The 16,434-nt window shown below is 48.1% G+C and overlaps 1 protein-coding gene across 2 annotated transcripts in view, besides 3 other annotated features; it reads right to left on the minus strand.

Moving 5' to 3' along the window:
- The window catches only part of DAGLB (diacylglycerol lipase beta), a 38,826-nt gene extending 24,381 nt beyond the window's left edge, over nt 1-14,445 (minus strand). Inside the window, exons 1-4 of one of the 2 annotated variants that reach the window (NM_139179.4) lie at nt 14,239-14,445; nt 12,444-12,595; nt 2,853-3,024; nt 1,253-1,511 (exon numbers count right to left, since the gene is read on the minus strand). In NM_139179.4, the coding sequence (NP_631918.3) occupies nt 1,253-1,511; nt 2,853-3,024; nt 12,444-12,595; nt 14,239-14,333 (678 nt within the window). In that variant the 5' untranslated portion in view covers nt 14,334-14,445. The remainder of the gene's footprint in view (nt 1-1,252; nt 1,512-2,852; nt 3,025-12,443; nt 12,596-14,238) is intronic. The other variant, NM_001142936.2, reaches the window with a different exon arrangement.
- Nucleotides 3,017-3,126: an enhancer, noted in NCBI's record as "active region_25623". NCBI's record gives its function as "activates an Ori minimal core promoter by ATAC-STARR-seq in GM12878 lymphoblastoid cells {active_cell/tissue: GM12878}" and the evidence as "EXISTENCE:reporter gene assay evidence [ECO:0000049][PMID:35858748]".
- Nucleotides 5,836-6,036: a silencer, noted in NCBI's record as "peak6358 fragment used in MPRA reporter construct". NCBI's record gives its function as "represses an SCP1 promoter by STARR-seq MPRAs in K562 erythroleukemia cells {active_cell/tissue: K562}" and the evidence as "EXISTENCE:reporter gene assay evidence [ECO:0000049][PMID:32103011]".
- Nucleotides 14,653-14,702: an enhancer, noted in NCBI's record as "active region_25624". NCBI's record gives its function as "activates an Ori minimal core promoter by ATAC-STARR-seq in GM12878 lymphoblastoid cells {active_cell/tissue: GM12878}" and the evidence as "EXISTENCE:reporter gene assay evidence [ECO:0000049][PMID:35858748]".

Genomic DNA, 16,434 nt, shown 5'->3' on the forward strand with positions numbered 1-16,434 from the left:
TCTCAATCACCTCCGGGTACTTGTAGCCCGTAAGAATGGACAATATACTGCCAGGTGCGATGACTCACGCCTGTAATCCCAGCACTTTGGGAGGCCGAGGTGGGCGGATCACCTGAGGTCAGAAGTTCGAGACCAGCCTGGCCAACATGGTGAAACCCTGTCTCTACTATAAATACAAAAATTAGCTGGGCGTGGTGGCAGGTGCCTGTCATCCCAGCTATTGTAGTACTCTAGCTACTCAGTACGCTGAGGCAGGAGAATCTCTCGAACACAGGAGGTGGAGGTTGTGCCAAGATGGCGCCACTGCACTCCAGCCCGGGTGACAAAACGAGACCTTGTCTCAAAAAAAAAAAAAAAAAGACAATATACTGGCCACTCAGCCACTGAGCCATCAGTTCTGCCTGTGATGTAGATTACGACATCCTCTAGAAATAACCAGCTTCTCTTCTTCCCTCTTCCAGATATCTTAAGACTAGGTTTAAGCACTTCTTTAAGTTACTGAGGGGACACGCTTCCCTCTTCCCTCTACGGAGGCTGCTGCTATGACTTGGTGTCAGGCTCCAGGACCAGCCCTGAATGGTGCCAAGTCGGATAGCACAGAGGTGGGAAGAGAGACTGGCAGGTGTGCAGGATAAGCAGAGAACTCTTCCTCCCTTACCTCATCTCAGTATGGAATTTAACAGCATTTAGCAGAGAATGTCATATAAAAAGATGACACGCTGCATGTGAAAAAAAAAAAACAAGCATTTTCAAATTGCGGAAGAACTCGCTCTAGAATGACGCTCCCTTCTGTGCTGCAATCATCTATTCAAACTGTCTTCCAAAAGTAGCATCGTCGATCATTTCCATCATGATACAAAGTGGTAAGAAGTCACTCACTATCTGATTCCAACCTCGATTCATGCCACTGCCTGTGCTTGGTATCTGCTCAACAGCAGCTGCAAATTATTCTCAAAGGGTACAGCGTCCGTTATGTGGTTCCTTACAGGCTAATCCAGCATTTTGACAGGGTAGTGAGTGGGTGTCAATACGAAGACATGTCCTATTGGGACACAGGGTCTGAGAAGGTGTGGCTCTTGCAGTTAACTGCTCCCTGGAGGGCTCATCACAGACAGAGGGTCTCCGGCCACCCCCCACACACCCAAAGACACCAGGTTCTCAAACGCGGTTTTATGGGAACAGAGGGACCGGCTCCATCAGAAGCATTTACTGAAACAGAAGAAACAGACCAAACCAGATCCCCTCGGCTTACTGAAAAGTAGGTTGAGAAAAGCTCTGCCGTACTCGAAAAAGCAACCCGAGTATGGTCGTCTTTCCCAATGCAACAGCACAAGAGCTTGATTCTGGTTTCCCACACGCTTGTAGCTGCTGTCTTGAGGCCATTAAGTAACTGGCTTGAATCATGACTATCCAGGTGGCTGGGGCCGGCAGAGGAATATGGAGCCATTTTCCCCCCAAGAGGGTCAAAGACAATGATAATGGAAACCACTGTGGCAGCGATGATGATCCAACTGCAAGACAGAGAGAGGAAAAGGCTCGGTGACTGCGGGCCCCAGCCCAGACGCAGATGTCCGGGGTCCCTCCTCCAGGTTCAGTTTCTGAGTCTCTACCACGGAGGGTTCTGTTACCGAGGAAGATGCAGCTCTCCTGGAACCTGCCTGAGGCAAGCAACTTTCTTCTAGAAAGTTCCTTATGAGGCTGGGCATGGTGGCTCACACCTGTAATCCCAGCACTTTGGGAGGCCGAGGCCGGCAGATCACGAGGTCAGGAGATCGAGACCAGCCTGGCCAACATAGTGAAACCCCGTCTCTACTAAAAACACAAAAATTAGCTGGGTGTGGTGGCACGTGCCTGTAGTCCCAGCTTCTGAGGAGGCTGAGGCAGGAGAATCGCTTGAACCAGAGAGTCGGAGATTGCAGTGAGCCGAGGAGGCGCCACTGCACTCCAGCCGGGCGACAGAGGGAGACTCCGTCTCAAAGAAAAAAAAAAAAAAGTTCCTTATGAATCAGTGGTTAACCCAGGCCCTGCCCTAACAGTAAAGGCCACAGAAGGAACAGGGAGGTGTCCGCTGGGCAGAGTTGCAGCCTGCGCCCGGATGCAGCGGGCACTTCTTCTCCATATGGCCCTGGGACCATGACATACGCCCTTCCCCTTCGGTGCCTCAGGGCTCTTCTCATGAAGGTATCACAGAGTACTCTGATAGGCCTCTCATCTATATGTTTAAATATTTCACACTGCAAGACGCCGGATTGAGGAGCACACGCAACCGGGAAATGCCCCTCCCGAAGGGGCTCTGCTGCCCCCTGGCGGTGTGACTCGAGAAACGCAGCAACAGCCCAGGTCTGATTCCTTATTTAGAACAGAGGGTGTTAAGGGGGCGGGACTGGATCATCTCTAAGATTTTTAGCCTAGAAAACACGAAAACCTTATTGTTCTAGAATATTATTCCCTGTCCCACTTCTGGACACCGTATCTCTTTTCATACCTTTAGTTTTAGTTTTTGCTCTGGTTTTGGTCTTTGGTTTTCTTCCGAATTCTTATAAGAGAAGGGTTAGGAATAAAAGACTTTAAGAAAAAAAGAAAAAAAAAAAAGAGAGAGAGACAGAAGGGAATGTAGAAAATAAAGAACCAGTAAGGAAAGAAATCTACATCAATACGTGCATAACGAAAGACGAGTTGTATTTCATGGACAAACAGTGTCTCTAAATTTTCATGAGTTACGCAGAAACTAACTCCAATTTCTAACTATTTGAGGAAGTCCGAGGGACGCTGGACTCTCTGTCATGTTAGAAGGGTTTGTTCACCTATGCCTCAAATCCACTGAAACTCAAAGAGAAGAAGGGAGATGTCACCTGACCACGACGGTTGCGATGATGCCGTTTACAACTGTCCTGTCGCACTGAACACCATCTGCCACCCAGGCAGCCCCCAGAGAGGCCCAGACCATCTCTGGAAAAAACAGCGCCAGGCGGATGTAAAGCAGCTTAGACATAGACTTCCGCGGTCCAGGGTTACAAATCGTTCCTGAAATACAAAAAACGTTCCGACTGCTCAGTTGCTTCCTCAGAGATGAAGAGCTTCCTTTTTGCAAAAATACAGCTTTTGCAGAGCATACATTTGTACTGTGCACACCCGCCTCCTGACTTTTTCTACTTATAATTGGTAATCAGCACCTAAGTCAGACAGCAAGTGAGAAAATGAGGATGGGAAACGTGACAAGAAGTCCTGGGCTCTTTTTTAAGATTTAGCAGGGATTAAAAACACTTCTGGGTTCTCACTGGGGTGACAATATAATCATGGCCCAAACTGGTATACTTCTGAGAGGAAAAAAGGGGACTATTAATAATTATGCTGGGGCCGGGCACGGTGACTCACACCTGTACTCCCAGCACTTTGGGAGGAGGCCAAGGCAGGTAGATCACCTGAGGTCAGGAGTTCGAGACCAGCCTGGCCAACATGGTGAAACCTCATCTCTACTAAAAATTAAAAAATTAGCGAGGCGTGGTGGCGGGCGTCTGTAATCCTAGCTACTTGCGAGGGAGGCTGAGACAGGAGAATCGCTTGAACCCAGGAGGCGGAGGTTGCAGTGAGCTGAGATTGCGCCACTGCACTCTAGTCTGGGTGACAGAGCAAGACTCCGTCTCAAAATAATAATAATAATAATAATAATAATAATAATAATAGTAATAATTATGCTGAGACAACAGGCACAAAACAGAACTGTCCCAGGCAAACAGGGATATATGGTCACCCAAGTTCTAACAGCCATGAAAACAAGCTCCACGTCCCTTTGAGACCTACATTGTTCTAGACACCAACCTAAAACACTTTATGTGCGTAGTTCTGTAATCCCCACAATGACTGGGTTAGTCATTATCTCATTTTACGTATGAGCAAGCAAACTGAAGCTCAGAGAGCGTAATAGCTACCATTCTTTTTGGAGACAAGGTCTCACTCTCTTGCCCAGGCTGGAGTGTGGTGGCACAATCATGACTCACTGCAGCCTCCACCTCTCAGGCTCAAGTGATCCACCCACCTCAGCCTCTCTGGTAGCTAGGACTACAGGTGCACACCACCACGCTGAAATAGGCCTCATAGTCCCATAGACAGTTGTTTTTTTGTGGGCGTTTTTTGGTTAATTTTTGTTTTTGTTTTTTTAGATGGAGTCTCACTCTGTCGCCCAGGCTGGAGTGCAGTAGTGTGATCTCAGCTTACCACAACCTCCGCCTCCCAGGTTCAAGTGATTCTCCTGCCTCAGCCTCCCTAGTAGCTGGGATTAGAGGCATTACACCTGGCTAATTTTTGTATTTTTAGTAGAGACTGGGTTTCACCATGTTGGCCAGGCTGGTCTTGAACTCCTGACCTCAAGTGATCTGCCCGCCTTTGCCTCGCAAAGTGCTGGGATTACAGGCATGAGCCACAGCACCCTACCAGGAAATAGCTTTTAAATTCAAAAAATTATCTTCTGTTAGAATGACTGAAATAGTTACATTTTAAAATATTAGGCACTAACATAAAGAAGGATGAGTTCATGTCCTTTGTAGGGACATGGATGAAGCTGGAAACCATCATTCTGAGCAAACTATCGCAAGGACAGAAAACCAAACACCGCATGTTTTCACTCATAGGTGGGAACTGAACAATGAGAACACTTGGACACAGGGTGGGGAACATCACACACCGGGGCCTGTAGTTGGGTGGGGGAGGAGGGAGGGATAGCATTAGGAGATATACCTAATGTAAATGACGAGTAACGGGTGCAGCACACCAACATGGCACATGTACACATATGTAACAAACCTGCATGTTGTGCACATGTACCATAGAACTTAAAGTATAAAAATAATTTTTAAAATGCAAAAATAAATAAATAAATAAAATATTAGGCACTAACAGCCTCATTTTTGGCACAAAGACAAAATTTTATAAGCTAAATAATTGTAACACTAACCTCTCTGAGGGGGAAAGGGTGCAGGTATGTGGAAAAAAAAAAACACAGTCCTATATTTGGAGCTTGTTATAACAATAGCCAAACACCCCAGAGAAACAGGAAACAGTATCTGCATACACACTGCTTCCTGGAGGGCTGGGATTCTAAAAACAGACACATCCTAATGTCAGCAGCACCTGGACTTGAAACTCCAACTGTGATGACAACTGCTGATACTGCATTAATGAAATACACAGACAAGGAATCAAGAGATGGAGTTGCTCTGATTAAGGTTCCAGAAAATAAGATATTGATCCCAGCACATTGGGTGGCCAAGGCAGGAGGATTGCTTGAGCCCAGGAGTTCGAGACCACGCTGGGGAACACAGAGAGACCTCATCTCTGATTATTTTTTAAAAAAGATAATGATGATGATGATGATGATGATGGTACTGAGAAAATCTCCTTTACACGGTTTTGCCTGCCTAGAAAAAATTTCTGGCCGGGTGCGGTGGCTCACGCCTGTAATCCTAACACTTTGGGAGGCCGAGGTGGATGGACTGTCTGAGCTCAGGGGAGGCCAAGGTGGATGGACTGTCTGAGCTCAGGAGTTTGAGACCAGCCTGGCTGACATGGTGAAACCTCATCTCTACTAAAATATAAAAAATTAGCCAGGCATGGTGGTGTGCTCATGTAGTCCCAGCTACTCAGGAAGCTGAGGCAAGAGAATTGCTTGAACCCAGGATGCGGAGGTTGCAGTAAGCCAAGACTGTGACACTGCACTCCAGCCTGGGCGACAGAGTGAGACTCTATCTCAAAAAGAAAAAAAAAGAAAAAAAAAAAAAGAAAAACTTTCCCTTTTATTTTTCCTTAAGAAAAACAGATGCTAGTATGGACCTGGCTGCCGCAGCAGGCTTCCTAAGGTCGCTGGCCCCATAACCGACAAGCACAGCTGCATTCCTAAATGTAATGTCCTCACCACTGTCTTGGTTAAGTAACCCTATCATCCATCATCAGACACAGCCACTTATGGAAGAGCAATGAAAGGAAGGCCTAGGTCCCAGAATCAGTACACTCAACTCCTATAGCCAATGCTGCAATCTTCTCTGACCCAGCTTAGCAATGAGCTCTTGGGATACAAACACAGAGGAGATACAAGGAGGCATCCCACAATCAAAGCCACACATGGCACAAGGCAGACTTTGTATGTCAAAAGGGTTCTTCTGTCAAAACATGGTAGTCATAAGGGTGGACCATCTCCAATCAAACCTCCCACAAGGTGCAACAGTGGGATTTCATTTGGGAGGTTTTCAAATTAAAAATAGAAACTAGGCCGGGTGCGGTGGCTCATACCTATAATCCGAGCAATTTGGGAGGGCAAGGCGGGTGGATCACCTGAGGTCAGGAGTTCGAGACCAGCCTGGCCAACATGGCAAAAACCCATCTCTACTAAAAATACAAAAATTAGCCAGGCATGGTGGTGGGCGCCTGTAATCCCAGCTACTCGGGAGGCTGAGGCAGGAGAATCGGTCGAACCCAAGAGGTAGAGGATGCAGTGAGCTAAGATCACGCCACTGCACTCCAGCCTGGGTGATGGAGAAAGACTCTGTCTCAAAAAAAAAAAAAAAAGAAAGAAAAAGAAACTACCACAGTATCAAAGTTTTCCTCAAATGCCGGGTGCAGTGGCTCAGGCTTGTAATCCCCAGCACTTTGGGAGGCTGAGGCGGCAGATCACCTGGAGTTCAAGACCAGCCTGACCAACATGGAGAAACCCCATCTCTACTAAAAATATAAAATTAGCCAGGTGTGGTGGTGCATGCCTGTAATCCCAGCTACTTGGGAGGCTGAGGCAGGAGAATCACTTGAACCCAGAAGGCGGAGGTTGCGGTGAGCCGAGATCATGCCATTGCACTCCATCCTGGGGACTCAAAAGCGAAACTCCGTCTCCAAAAAAAAAAAAAAAGTTTTCCTCAATTGAGCTACAGAAGAAGAGGATCAGTCTTCTGGATGGAGAGGACTGAATTCCACCTGCTCCAAATGTTCCCTCCACATCTTGTGATGTTCCTTTCAGAGAGGAGTATCAGCCAAAAGCTAAAGAAGCATTCTTTCAGCTCAGATGACAGGCTACTGGGACTTGATTTACGAAACAAAAGGGACAACAGAAGTTAGCTATGTCGGCCGGGTGCAGTAGCTCATGCCTGTAATCCCAACACTTTGGGAGGCCATGGCGGGAAGTTCGAGACCAGCCTGGCCAACATGGTTTCTACAAAAAAACACAAAATTAGACAGGCATAGTAGTGTGTGCCTGTAATCCCAGTTAATTGGGAGGCTGAGCCAGGAGAACTGCTTGAACCTGGGAGGCGGAGGTTGCAGTGAGCTGAGATCCCACCACTGCACTCCAGCCTGGGCAACAGAGCAAAATTCCATCTCAAAATCAATCCATCAGTCAATCAATCATTTATATTTCCTTTACATGTTCATGTTCTTTGCCCATTTTCCTACTGACCATTGGTTTTTTCTTTGTTTTTTTTTTGAGGGGGGGACGGAGTTTCCCTCTTGTGAAAGTGCTGGGGTTACAGGCATGAGCCACCGCTCCCAGCTTTCGATACATATTTTTAATAAGGCATATGACGTTATGTGTAACAAACTGACAATTTTTTTTTTTTTTTTGAGATGGAGTCTCGCTCTGTCGCCCAAGCTGGAGTGCAGTGGCGCGATCTCGGCTCACTGCAAGCTCCGCCTCCCAGGTTCATGCCATTCTCCTGGCTCAGCCTCCCAAGTAGCTGGGACTACAGGCAGCTGCCACCACGCCTGGCTAATTTTTTGTACTTTTTAGTAGAGACGGGGTTTCACCATGTTAGCCAGGATGGTCTCAATCTCCTCACCTCATGATTCGCCCGCCTCGGCCTCCCAAAGTGCTGGGATTACAGGCGTGAGCCACCGCGCCCGGCCACAAACTGACAATTAAACAAACATTTTTTTCTTTTTTTTTTTTTTGAGACAGAGTCTCACTCTGTCGTCCAGGCTGGAGTGCAATGGCGCGATCTCGGCTCACTGCAACCTCCGCCTCCCGAGTTCAAGCGATTCTCCTGCCTCAGCCTCCCGAGTAGGTGTGACTACAGGGGCCCGCCACCACGCCCAGCTAATTTTTTGTATTTTTAGAAGAGACGGGGTTTCACCGTGTTAGTCAGGATGGTCTTGATCTCCTGACCTCATGATGCACCCGCCTCAGCCTCCCAGAGTGCTGGAATTACAGGTGTAAGCCACCGCGCCTGGCCTTCAATACATATTTTTAATAAGGCATATAATGTTATGTGCAACAAACTGACAATTAAACGAACATGTTTTTATAAAATACTGTTTTCAGTTTGGCTGGGATATCTCTACCCACAAGTTACAGAAAATTCAACTCAAACTGGCTGAAAAGCAGGAAGGGCCACAATGACTCGAGCGACTGAGTGCAGAAGCAAGACGGCATCGGGGCTGCCCTGACCGAGACAAGCCTCCATCTCCTTGTGCTTCTCCCAGCTCTCCCCTGCCCTGTATGTCAGCTTGCCCTGCGCTGTGAGTGGAGACACAGCTTCAGCCAGGAGAGCGACGATAAATGGCTTTTGGATCCTTCCTAGAGGGGCAAGGAAGCACTTCCCCAGAACCTTCCACCAAACTCTCCCTGACTCTCACTGGGCCAAACTGGGTCACGTGTCCATTCCTGAACCAATCACCAATACGTGAGCCCGGCCTAGGGTCTGCTTCTCTGACGCATACTTGGTATGTGTGGGATGGGGGCAAAACAAAACGGGGTTCTGTTTGGAGGAGGCTGTGGGATAGACAACCCAGAACACTCCGACAACCCACAGATGACTTCTGAGCTCTGACCACAAGTACATGATGATGCAAGCATTGTACGAGTGTCTAGGAAGAGGGAACGGAGTGAATATGAGCATCCCTCACAGGGAGGTAAAGACGTCCCAACACCAAAAATATCTCAACACAAACAAACATGTAAGGAAAAAAAAAAGTACACCGACTGCTTCCACTCTGACCCTGCTATTACAGCCACAAACTCAGTGGTCTAACCAGAATGTGAGATGAACAAAAAAGGGCAAATAAGTTAGATAATGCTGTATCTGAAATGACACCAGTCTCAATACTTCACCTTCAATAAGAAGCTTCCCAGCGCTGAAGCCACACTGTACACATGGTTTCTTTCTTTCCTTAAGCATCTGGCACCAATGACAGCCTACATTTGGGGGCCAACACAAACGTGGAGCCTCCATCAATCCAGCCTCCTTGCGTGGATGTTTCTAGAGGCATACTAAAATACACAGAGCTAGCTGGGTGCAGTGGCTCACACCTGTAATACCAGCACTTTGGGAGGATGAGGTGGGTGGATCAGCTAAGGTCAGGAGTTCGAGACCAGCCTGGCCAACATGGTTCAACTTTGTCTCTACTAGACCAGGTGCAGTGGCTCACGCCTATAATCCCAGCACTTTGGGAGGCTGAGGCGGGCGGATCACGAGGTCAAGAGATGGAGACCATCCTGGCTAACACAGTGAAACCCCGTCTCTTCTAAAAATACAAAAAAAAAAAAAAAAATAGCCAGGCACGGTGGCGGGCGCCTGTAGTCCCAGCTACTTGGGAGGCTGAGGCAGGAGAATGGCGTGAACCCGGGAGGCGGAGCTTACAGTGAGCCGAGATAGAGATAGTGCCACTGCAGTCCAGCCTGGGTGAAAGAGCGAGACTCCATCCGGAAAAAAAAAACAAAAAACAAAAAAAACAAAACAAAACAAACAAAAAACTTTGTCTCTACTAAAAAAAAAAAAAAAAAAAAAAAAGAAACTGTCTCTACTAAAAATACAAAAAAATTAGCTGGGTGTGGTGGCACGTGCCTGTAATCTCAGCTAGTTGGGAGGCTGAGGCAGAATTGTTTGAATCTGGGAGGCAGAGGTTGGTTGCAGTGAGCTGAGATTACGCCATTGCAGTCCAGCCCTGGGCAACAAGGGCAAAACTCTGTCTCAAAAGAAAAAAGTAAAATAAAATACACAGAGCTCTGTTTTCTATGTTACTGTGGTAATCAGGCACATGCCACTCTTGCTGGTCATCCCAAACCCTAAGGTCTTTTTCTCATGAAAGATGTTGCTGCTAACATTTCTACCCTCTACATTGCTCCTATGAGCTAACACCTTTTACATTTCAGTCCTTTATTCCAAACTGTCAAGATCTTGATGCCGTCACTCACTGTATCACCAGCGCCTCCCAGTGCACCTCACCACCAGCATATATCTGATATGCATACCTCGTCCATCCCAATTCAAGCAGTGACAAAGGACTAAAACATGGCGGATGGTGGCATGTCACACAGCCCTGCCTCTGACCAATGAATCATTTCTAAGAATGCATTCCTTTATTAGTCACCACAGTGCTCACATCATCCTATGAAGCAGAGGAATCCAACAGGGAAGGTTTCCAACACTTCTGGAGACATTCTCAGATAAATGGTTATCTACAGAAAACTGTAACACATATAAAAAATATGAAGAATAGGTGATCAGACGCGGTGGTTCACCCCTGTAATCCTAGCATTTTGGGAGACCGAGACGAGAGGATCACCTGAGCCCAGGAGTTCAAGATCAGTCTAAGCTATATAGCAAGACCCTGTCTCTACAAAAAATAAAAATAAAAAAAATTAGCCAGGTATGGTGGCACGTGCCTGTACTTCCAGCTACTTGGGGGTTGAGAAGAGAGGATTGCTTGAGCCCAGGTATTTGAGGCTGCAGTGAGCTATGATTGCGCCACTGCCCTCTAGCCTGGGCAACAGAGCAAGACACTGTCTCTAACAACAACAAAATAGTTGTAACCCTCACAATGTAAAAATAAAAGGGACCAGGCGCGGTGACTCACACTTGTAATCCTAGCACTTTGGGAGGTCGAAGCGGGTGGATCACGTGAGGTCAGGAGATCGAGACAAGCCTGACCAACATGGTAAAACCGCATCTCTACTAAAAATACAAAAATTAGCCAGGCGTGGTAGCGGGTGCCTGTAATCCCAGCTACATGGGAGGCTGAGGCACAAGAATCACTTGAACCCAGGAGACGGAGGCTGCAGTGAGCAGAGAGCACGCCACTGCACTCCAGCCTGCGCAGCGGAGGGAGACTCTATCTCAAAAAATAAAAATAAAAAATAAAAGGATCAATAGCCTAGTCTAAAATTGGGCAAAAGATCTGAACAGACATTTCCGCAAAAATGATACACAAATGAGCAATAAGCAAATGAAAGGATGCTCAACATCATTAGTCACCAAAGAAATGTTCCTCAAAGCCATGAGACAAAAAACAAATGGCCTGTGGCCCCAGCTATTCGGGAGGCTGAGGCAGGAGAATCACTTGAACCCGGGAGGCAGAGGTTACAGTGAGCCGAGATTGCGCCATGGCACTCCAGCCTGGGTGACAGAGTGTGACTCCGTCTCAAAAAAACAAAACAAAACACAACAAAACAAAATCATGAGCTACCACTTCACATTCACTAGGATGGCTATAATTAACAAGTCATATAATAAGAGCGTTGGGCAATTAGAACCCTTATACACTGCTGGTGGGAATGTAAAATGGTACAGCTGCTTGGAAAAGTCTGGCAGTTCCTCAAAAGGTTTCACAGAGCATTAACACATGATCCAGCAATTCACTCCTAGGTACACACTCAAGAGAAATGAAAACATGTCTGTATAAACACTTGTATGCGAATGTTCATAGCTGCACTATTCGTAATAGGTGAAAAATGGAAACAATCCAAATGCCTACCAAATGGCAAAGGGATAAATAAAATGTGGTCCATTCATTCGATGCTCTTATTCAGCCATCAAAATGAAGTACTGATACATGCTAAAACATCGATGAATCTTGAAGACATTATGCTAAGCTTAAGAAACCAGACCAAAAGGCCACACAGTGAATAAATTCCACTTATATGATGTCCACAATAGGCAAATGTACACAGACAGAAAGCAAATTAGTGAATGCTTAGGGTTGGGAGAGTTTGGGGAAAATGAGGAGTGACTGCTAATGGGTATGGGATCTCTTTCTTTCCGTTTTGTGACAGAGTCTCCACTCTGTCACTCAGGCTGGAGTACGGTGGCATGATCTCAGCTCCCTAGCAGCTGGGATTACAAGCATGCACCAACATAATTTTCTCTATTTTTAGTAGAGACGTAGAGATGGGGTTCCACTGTGTTGGCCAGGCTAGTCTCATGCTCCTGGCCTCAAGTGATCCACCCACCTCGGCTTCCCAAAGTGCTGGGATTACAGGTGTGAGCCACTGTGTCCCGCCTGGTACAGGATTTCTTTCAGGAGTGAAGAAAATGGTATAAACTTGATGATGGTGATGGCTGCACAACTCTGTGATTATATTAAAAACTGTTGAATTGGAAAGTTTACAGAAGTGAATTGTATGGTATGTGAATTATATCTCAATAAAGCTATAAAAAAATAGGTATCAAATAGAAAAGGCTACTTTTTACCTCTCATGCTGACACACATGATGGCTGACACAGTACATATGACAACTGCCAGGAGAATCATGAGGACGATCAAGTAACTGCTGAGCAAGGCTCCACCAGCACAGTCCAGCTTTCCTCTGTGCATGAGATACAACGTCAGAATGCCAATCCACCTGGCAAAAAAAAAAAAGGGAAGGGTCAGAAATGAAATCCAAGGAGCTGCTGTGTAGAACATGATACAAAGAAATAAAAGGGGACAGGGCGCGGTGGCTCACACCTGTAATCACAGCACTTTGGGAGGGTGAGGTGGGCGGATCACAAGGTCAGGAGATCGAGACCATCCTGATCAACATGGTGAAACCCTGTCTCTACGAAAAATACAAAAAAAAAAAAAAAAATAGCTGGGCGTAGTGGTGCGCACCTGTAGTCCCAGCTACTCGAGAGGCTGAGACAGGAGAATTGCTTGAACCTGGGACGTGGAGGTGGCAGTGAGCCGAGATCGTGTCACTGCACTCCAGCCTGGGCAACGATATGAGACTCCGTCTCAAAAAAAAAAAAAAAAAAAAAAAAAAAAAAAAAGAAATAAAAGGAGTTAATATTTTCCAAAACAAGGCAAGGTTCACTTTGGAATATAATTTTCTTTTTGTAGAGACAGGGTCTTGCTATGTTGCCCAGACTGGTCTTGAACTCCTGGCTTCAAGTGATCTTCCTGCCTTGGCCTCCCAAAGTGCTGGGATTACAGGCATGAATCACTGCACCTGGCCTGGAATATAATTGCCAACAATAAAAGATCTAGGCCCGGCACGGCGGCTCACGTCTGTAATCCTAGCACTTTGGGAGGCCAAGGCAGGAGGATCACTTGAGCACAAGAGTTGGACACTAGCCTGGGCAACACGGTGAGACTCCATCTCTACAAAAAATAGAAAAAGTTAGCTGGGCGTGGTGGCACGAGTCTGTGGTCCCAGCTACTTGGAAGAGTGAAGTGGGAAGATCGCTTGAGCCCAGGAGGTTGAGGCTGCAGTGAGTGGTGATCGCACCACTGCACTCCCGCCTGGGTAGCAGAGTGAGACCCTGTCTCAAAAAAATAAAAAGAAAAGGGGTCTCACTATGTTGCCCAGGTTGGTCTCAAACTCCTGCCCTCAAGCAATCCTCCCGTCTCAGCCTCTCAATGTGCTGAGATAACAGGCGTGAGCCATGGCGCCCAGCCAAGAATCTACTTTTGCATAACAATGATTCATTCCCTGCACAGATCCTCTGGGAACAGACTTCAGGTACCAATGCCACTTCCCACTGATTCCACACTTTGAAAGACAACAGCGTTGTATGTTGAGCCTGTCTGCTTCTCACGAAATGCAGCCACAACCGGCTCGGTATTTTTTCCTATCCTTCGTGTTGCAGATTCAAGTGCCCCGTACAAAGGGAAGGAAGGGCACAAGTGGCTGCTCCCGCCTCAAGAAAGGAGAACTCGAGGCCAAGGCTTTTGCCGGCGGTAACACCCTCGTGGCACCCCAGGGCCAGGTCTCGGCGCTGCACACAAAGGGGTGCTCGCGTCCTGCTGCGCGGACTTCGAAACCCCCTGTTTGTCCCCCGGGGTCAGCCCACACACTCTGGGGGCTTCGGTTTGTCATCCGTCAAATGGACACAGCACCACTGCCCACCTCTTCGGGCAGTGGTGAGAACTCGATAAGAGGATGCGTGGCCAGCGCTGGGACCGCGACAGTGCTTGGGAAGCCACTTCTGTCACCGTCTCAAGGGACAGCTCGCCCCCCGCTCCCTCTCCGGTGGGCTCCACCGCCCCCGTAGCCGCCGTCCTTACCACAGCACTCGCACGACCAGCTCGAAGAACCCTGGGAAGACCAAGTCGTCGCTGGCGATGGCCCAGCGCCGGCCGAAGAGTACCATCCCCGGCATGGCGAAGGTCCCGTAGCTCGCACTCAGGAGAGACCCCGCGCGCCGTTCACCGAGAACAAACCAGCACCCTCCGGACGCCGCCACCAAATTATCGGCGCTCAAGCGCAAACGCAGCGAGGGCGGGGACCTGCGCATGCTCACGCTGAGGCCGAGATCGGCGCAAGCGCACTGAGCCCTACACCGCCTCTTCCGCCGGAGCTGTCTGCGCCTGCGCAGAAACGCTGATCCGGAAGGCGCTGGCTGAGTCGATTGCAGGTCTGCCGGTCGGTGAAATCCGTTCTGGTATTTTCTTTTTCTTTTTCGTGAAGAGTGCAGTGATATCCGTTCTGGTGATATTTCCTTTTCCTTTTTTTTTTTTTTTTTTTTTTTTTTTTTTTTTTTTTTTTGGTGACGGAGTCTCGCTCTGTTCCCAGGCTGGAGTGCAGTGGGTGTGATCTCGGCTCACTGCATCCTCCGCCTCCCGGGCTCAAGCGATTCACCTGTCTCAGGCTCCGGTGTAGCTGTGATTACAGGAGCGCGCCACCACGGCTAATTTTTGTATTTTTAGTAGAGACGAAGTTTCACCATGTTGGCCAGGCTGGTCTCGAACCCCTGACCTCAAGTGATCCGCCCGCCTGGGCCTCTCAAAGTGCTAGGATTACAGGCGTGAACCACTGCGCCCGGCCCTGTTTGTCTGTTTGTTTAAGGCAGCGTATGGCTCTGTCGTTCAGGGTGGAGTGCAGTGGCGCAATCATGACTCACTGCAGCCTTGAACTCCTGAATGCCGCCTTGAATTCCTGGATTCCAGCGACTCTCCCACCTCAACCTCCTGAGTAGCTGAGACCAAAGGCACGTGCCACACTCCCGGCTAATTTATTTTTATTTATTTATTTATTTATTTATTTATTTATTTAGAGACATAGTTTTGCTCTTGTTGCCCCAGGCTGGAGTGCAATGGCGCGATCTTGGTTCACCACAACCTCCATCTCCTGGGTTCAAGCGATTCTCCTGCCTCAGCCTCCTGAGTAGCTGGGATTACAGGCATGTGTCACCATGCCCAGCTAATTTTGTATTTTTAGTAGAGATGGGGTTTCTCCATAAATTTTCCTATTTTTTGTAGAGACCGGAGTCTCACTCTGTTGCCCAGGCCGGTCTTGAACTCCTGGCCTCAAACCATCCTCCCGCCGCAGCCTCCCAAAGTGCTGGTATTACAGGCGTGAGCCACTACACCTGACCGAAATTTTCATTTTATAAGGAGGGACGCTTCAGGCCTGGAGGAATTAGCTAGCCTAGAGACCCAGGCTGTCAATGGCAGGTGTGGGACTCATATCCCGTTCTGTGAGACTTGCAAGCATGGGACAACATTGCTTCCATCTGTGCCCCTTGCTGTAAGGAGCCCGTGTTAGGAACCCCTCGAGTTCAGGGTCTGAAACCACCCTGCAGCTGGCGGGGTGGAGTCTGAGCGCTTTTCAGTACCCCCACTGCCCCACCCTGGTCTGAGCCACCTTCATCTCCTGCCTGGGCTCATCACCCCACTGTGCTTTCTCATTCTGCTGTGCCCTCTTCAGCAGCCAGGGTGACTTTGTGAACCTTCAGATAAAGCCTGCACCCTGCCTGGGACTTTGCAAGGCTGCACTTTGTGCATAAAATTACATTGCAGGCCAGGCGCGGTGCCTCACGCCTGTAATCCCAACACTTTGGGAGGCTAAGGTGGGCGAATCACGAGGTCAGGAGGAGATCGAGACCATCTTAGCCAACATGGTGAAACCTCGTCTCTACTAAAATTTAAAAAAAAAGTTAGCCAAGTGTGGTGGCACGCACCTGTAGTCCTGGCTACTTGGGAGGCTGAGGCAGGGGAATCGCTTGAACCTGGGAGGCAGAGGTTGCAGTGAGCCAAGATCGCGCCCTGCACTCTAGCCTGGCAACAGAGCAAGACTCCGTCTCAAAAAAAAAAAAAAAATTACACTCCAGCCCCTGGCAAAGGCCTTTCCCTGGTAGTCACACATCAAAAGTTTGTAAGGGCTCATTTATCTGTCTCCCTGGTTACTATTTGCCTCTATCACCCACCCCACTGCCTGCCGCCTTTTCCCCCTCTGAAAAGACATCAGGGTCATTTTTGCTC

The sequence above is a fragment of the Homo sapiens genome, chromosome 7 (genome assembly GCF_000001405.40).
Source record: "Homo sapiens chromosome 7, GRCh38.p14 Primary Assembly".
Taxonomy (NCBI): Eukaryota; Metazoa; Chordata; class Mammalia; order Primates; family Hominidae; genus Homo; species Homo sapiens.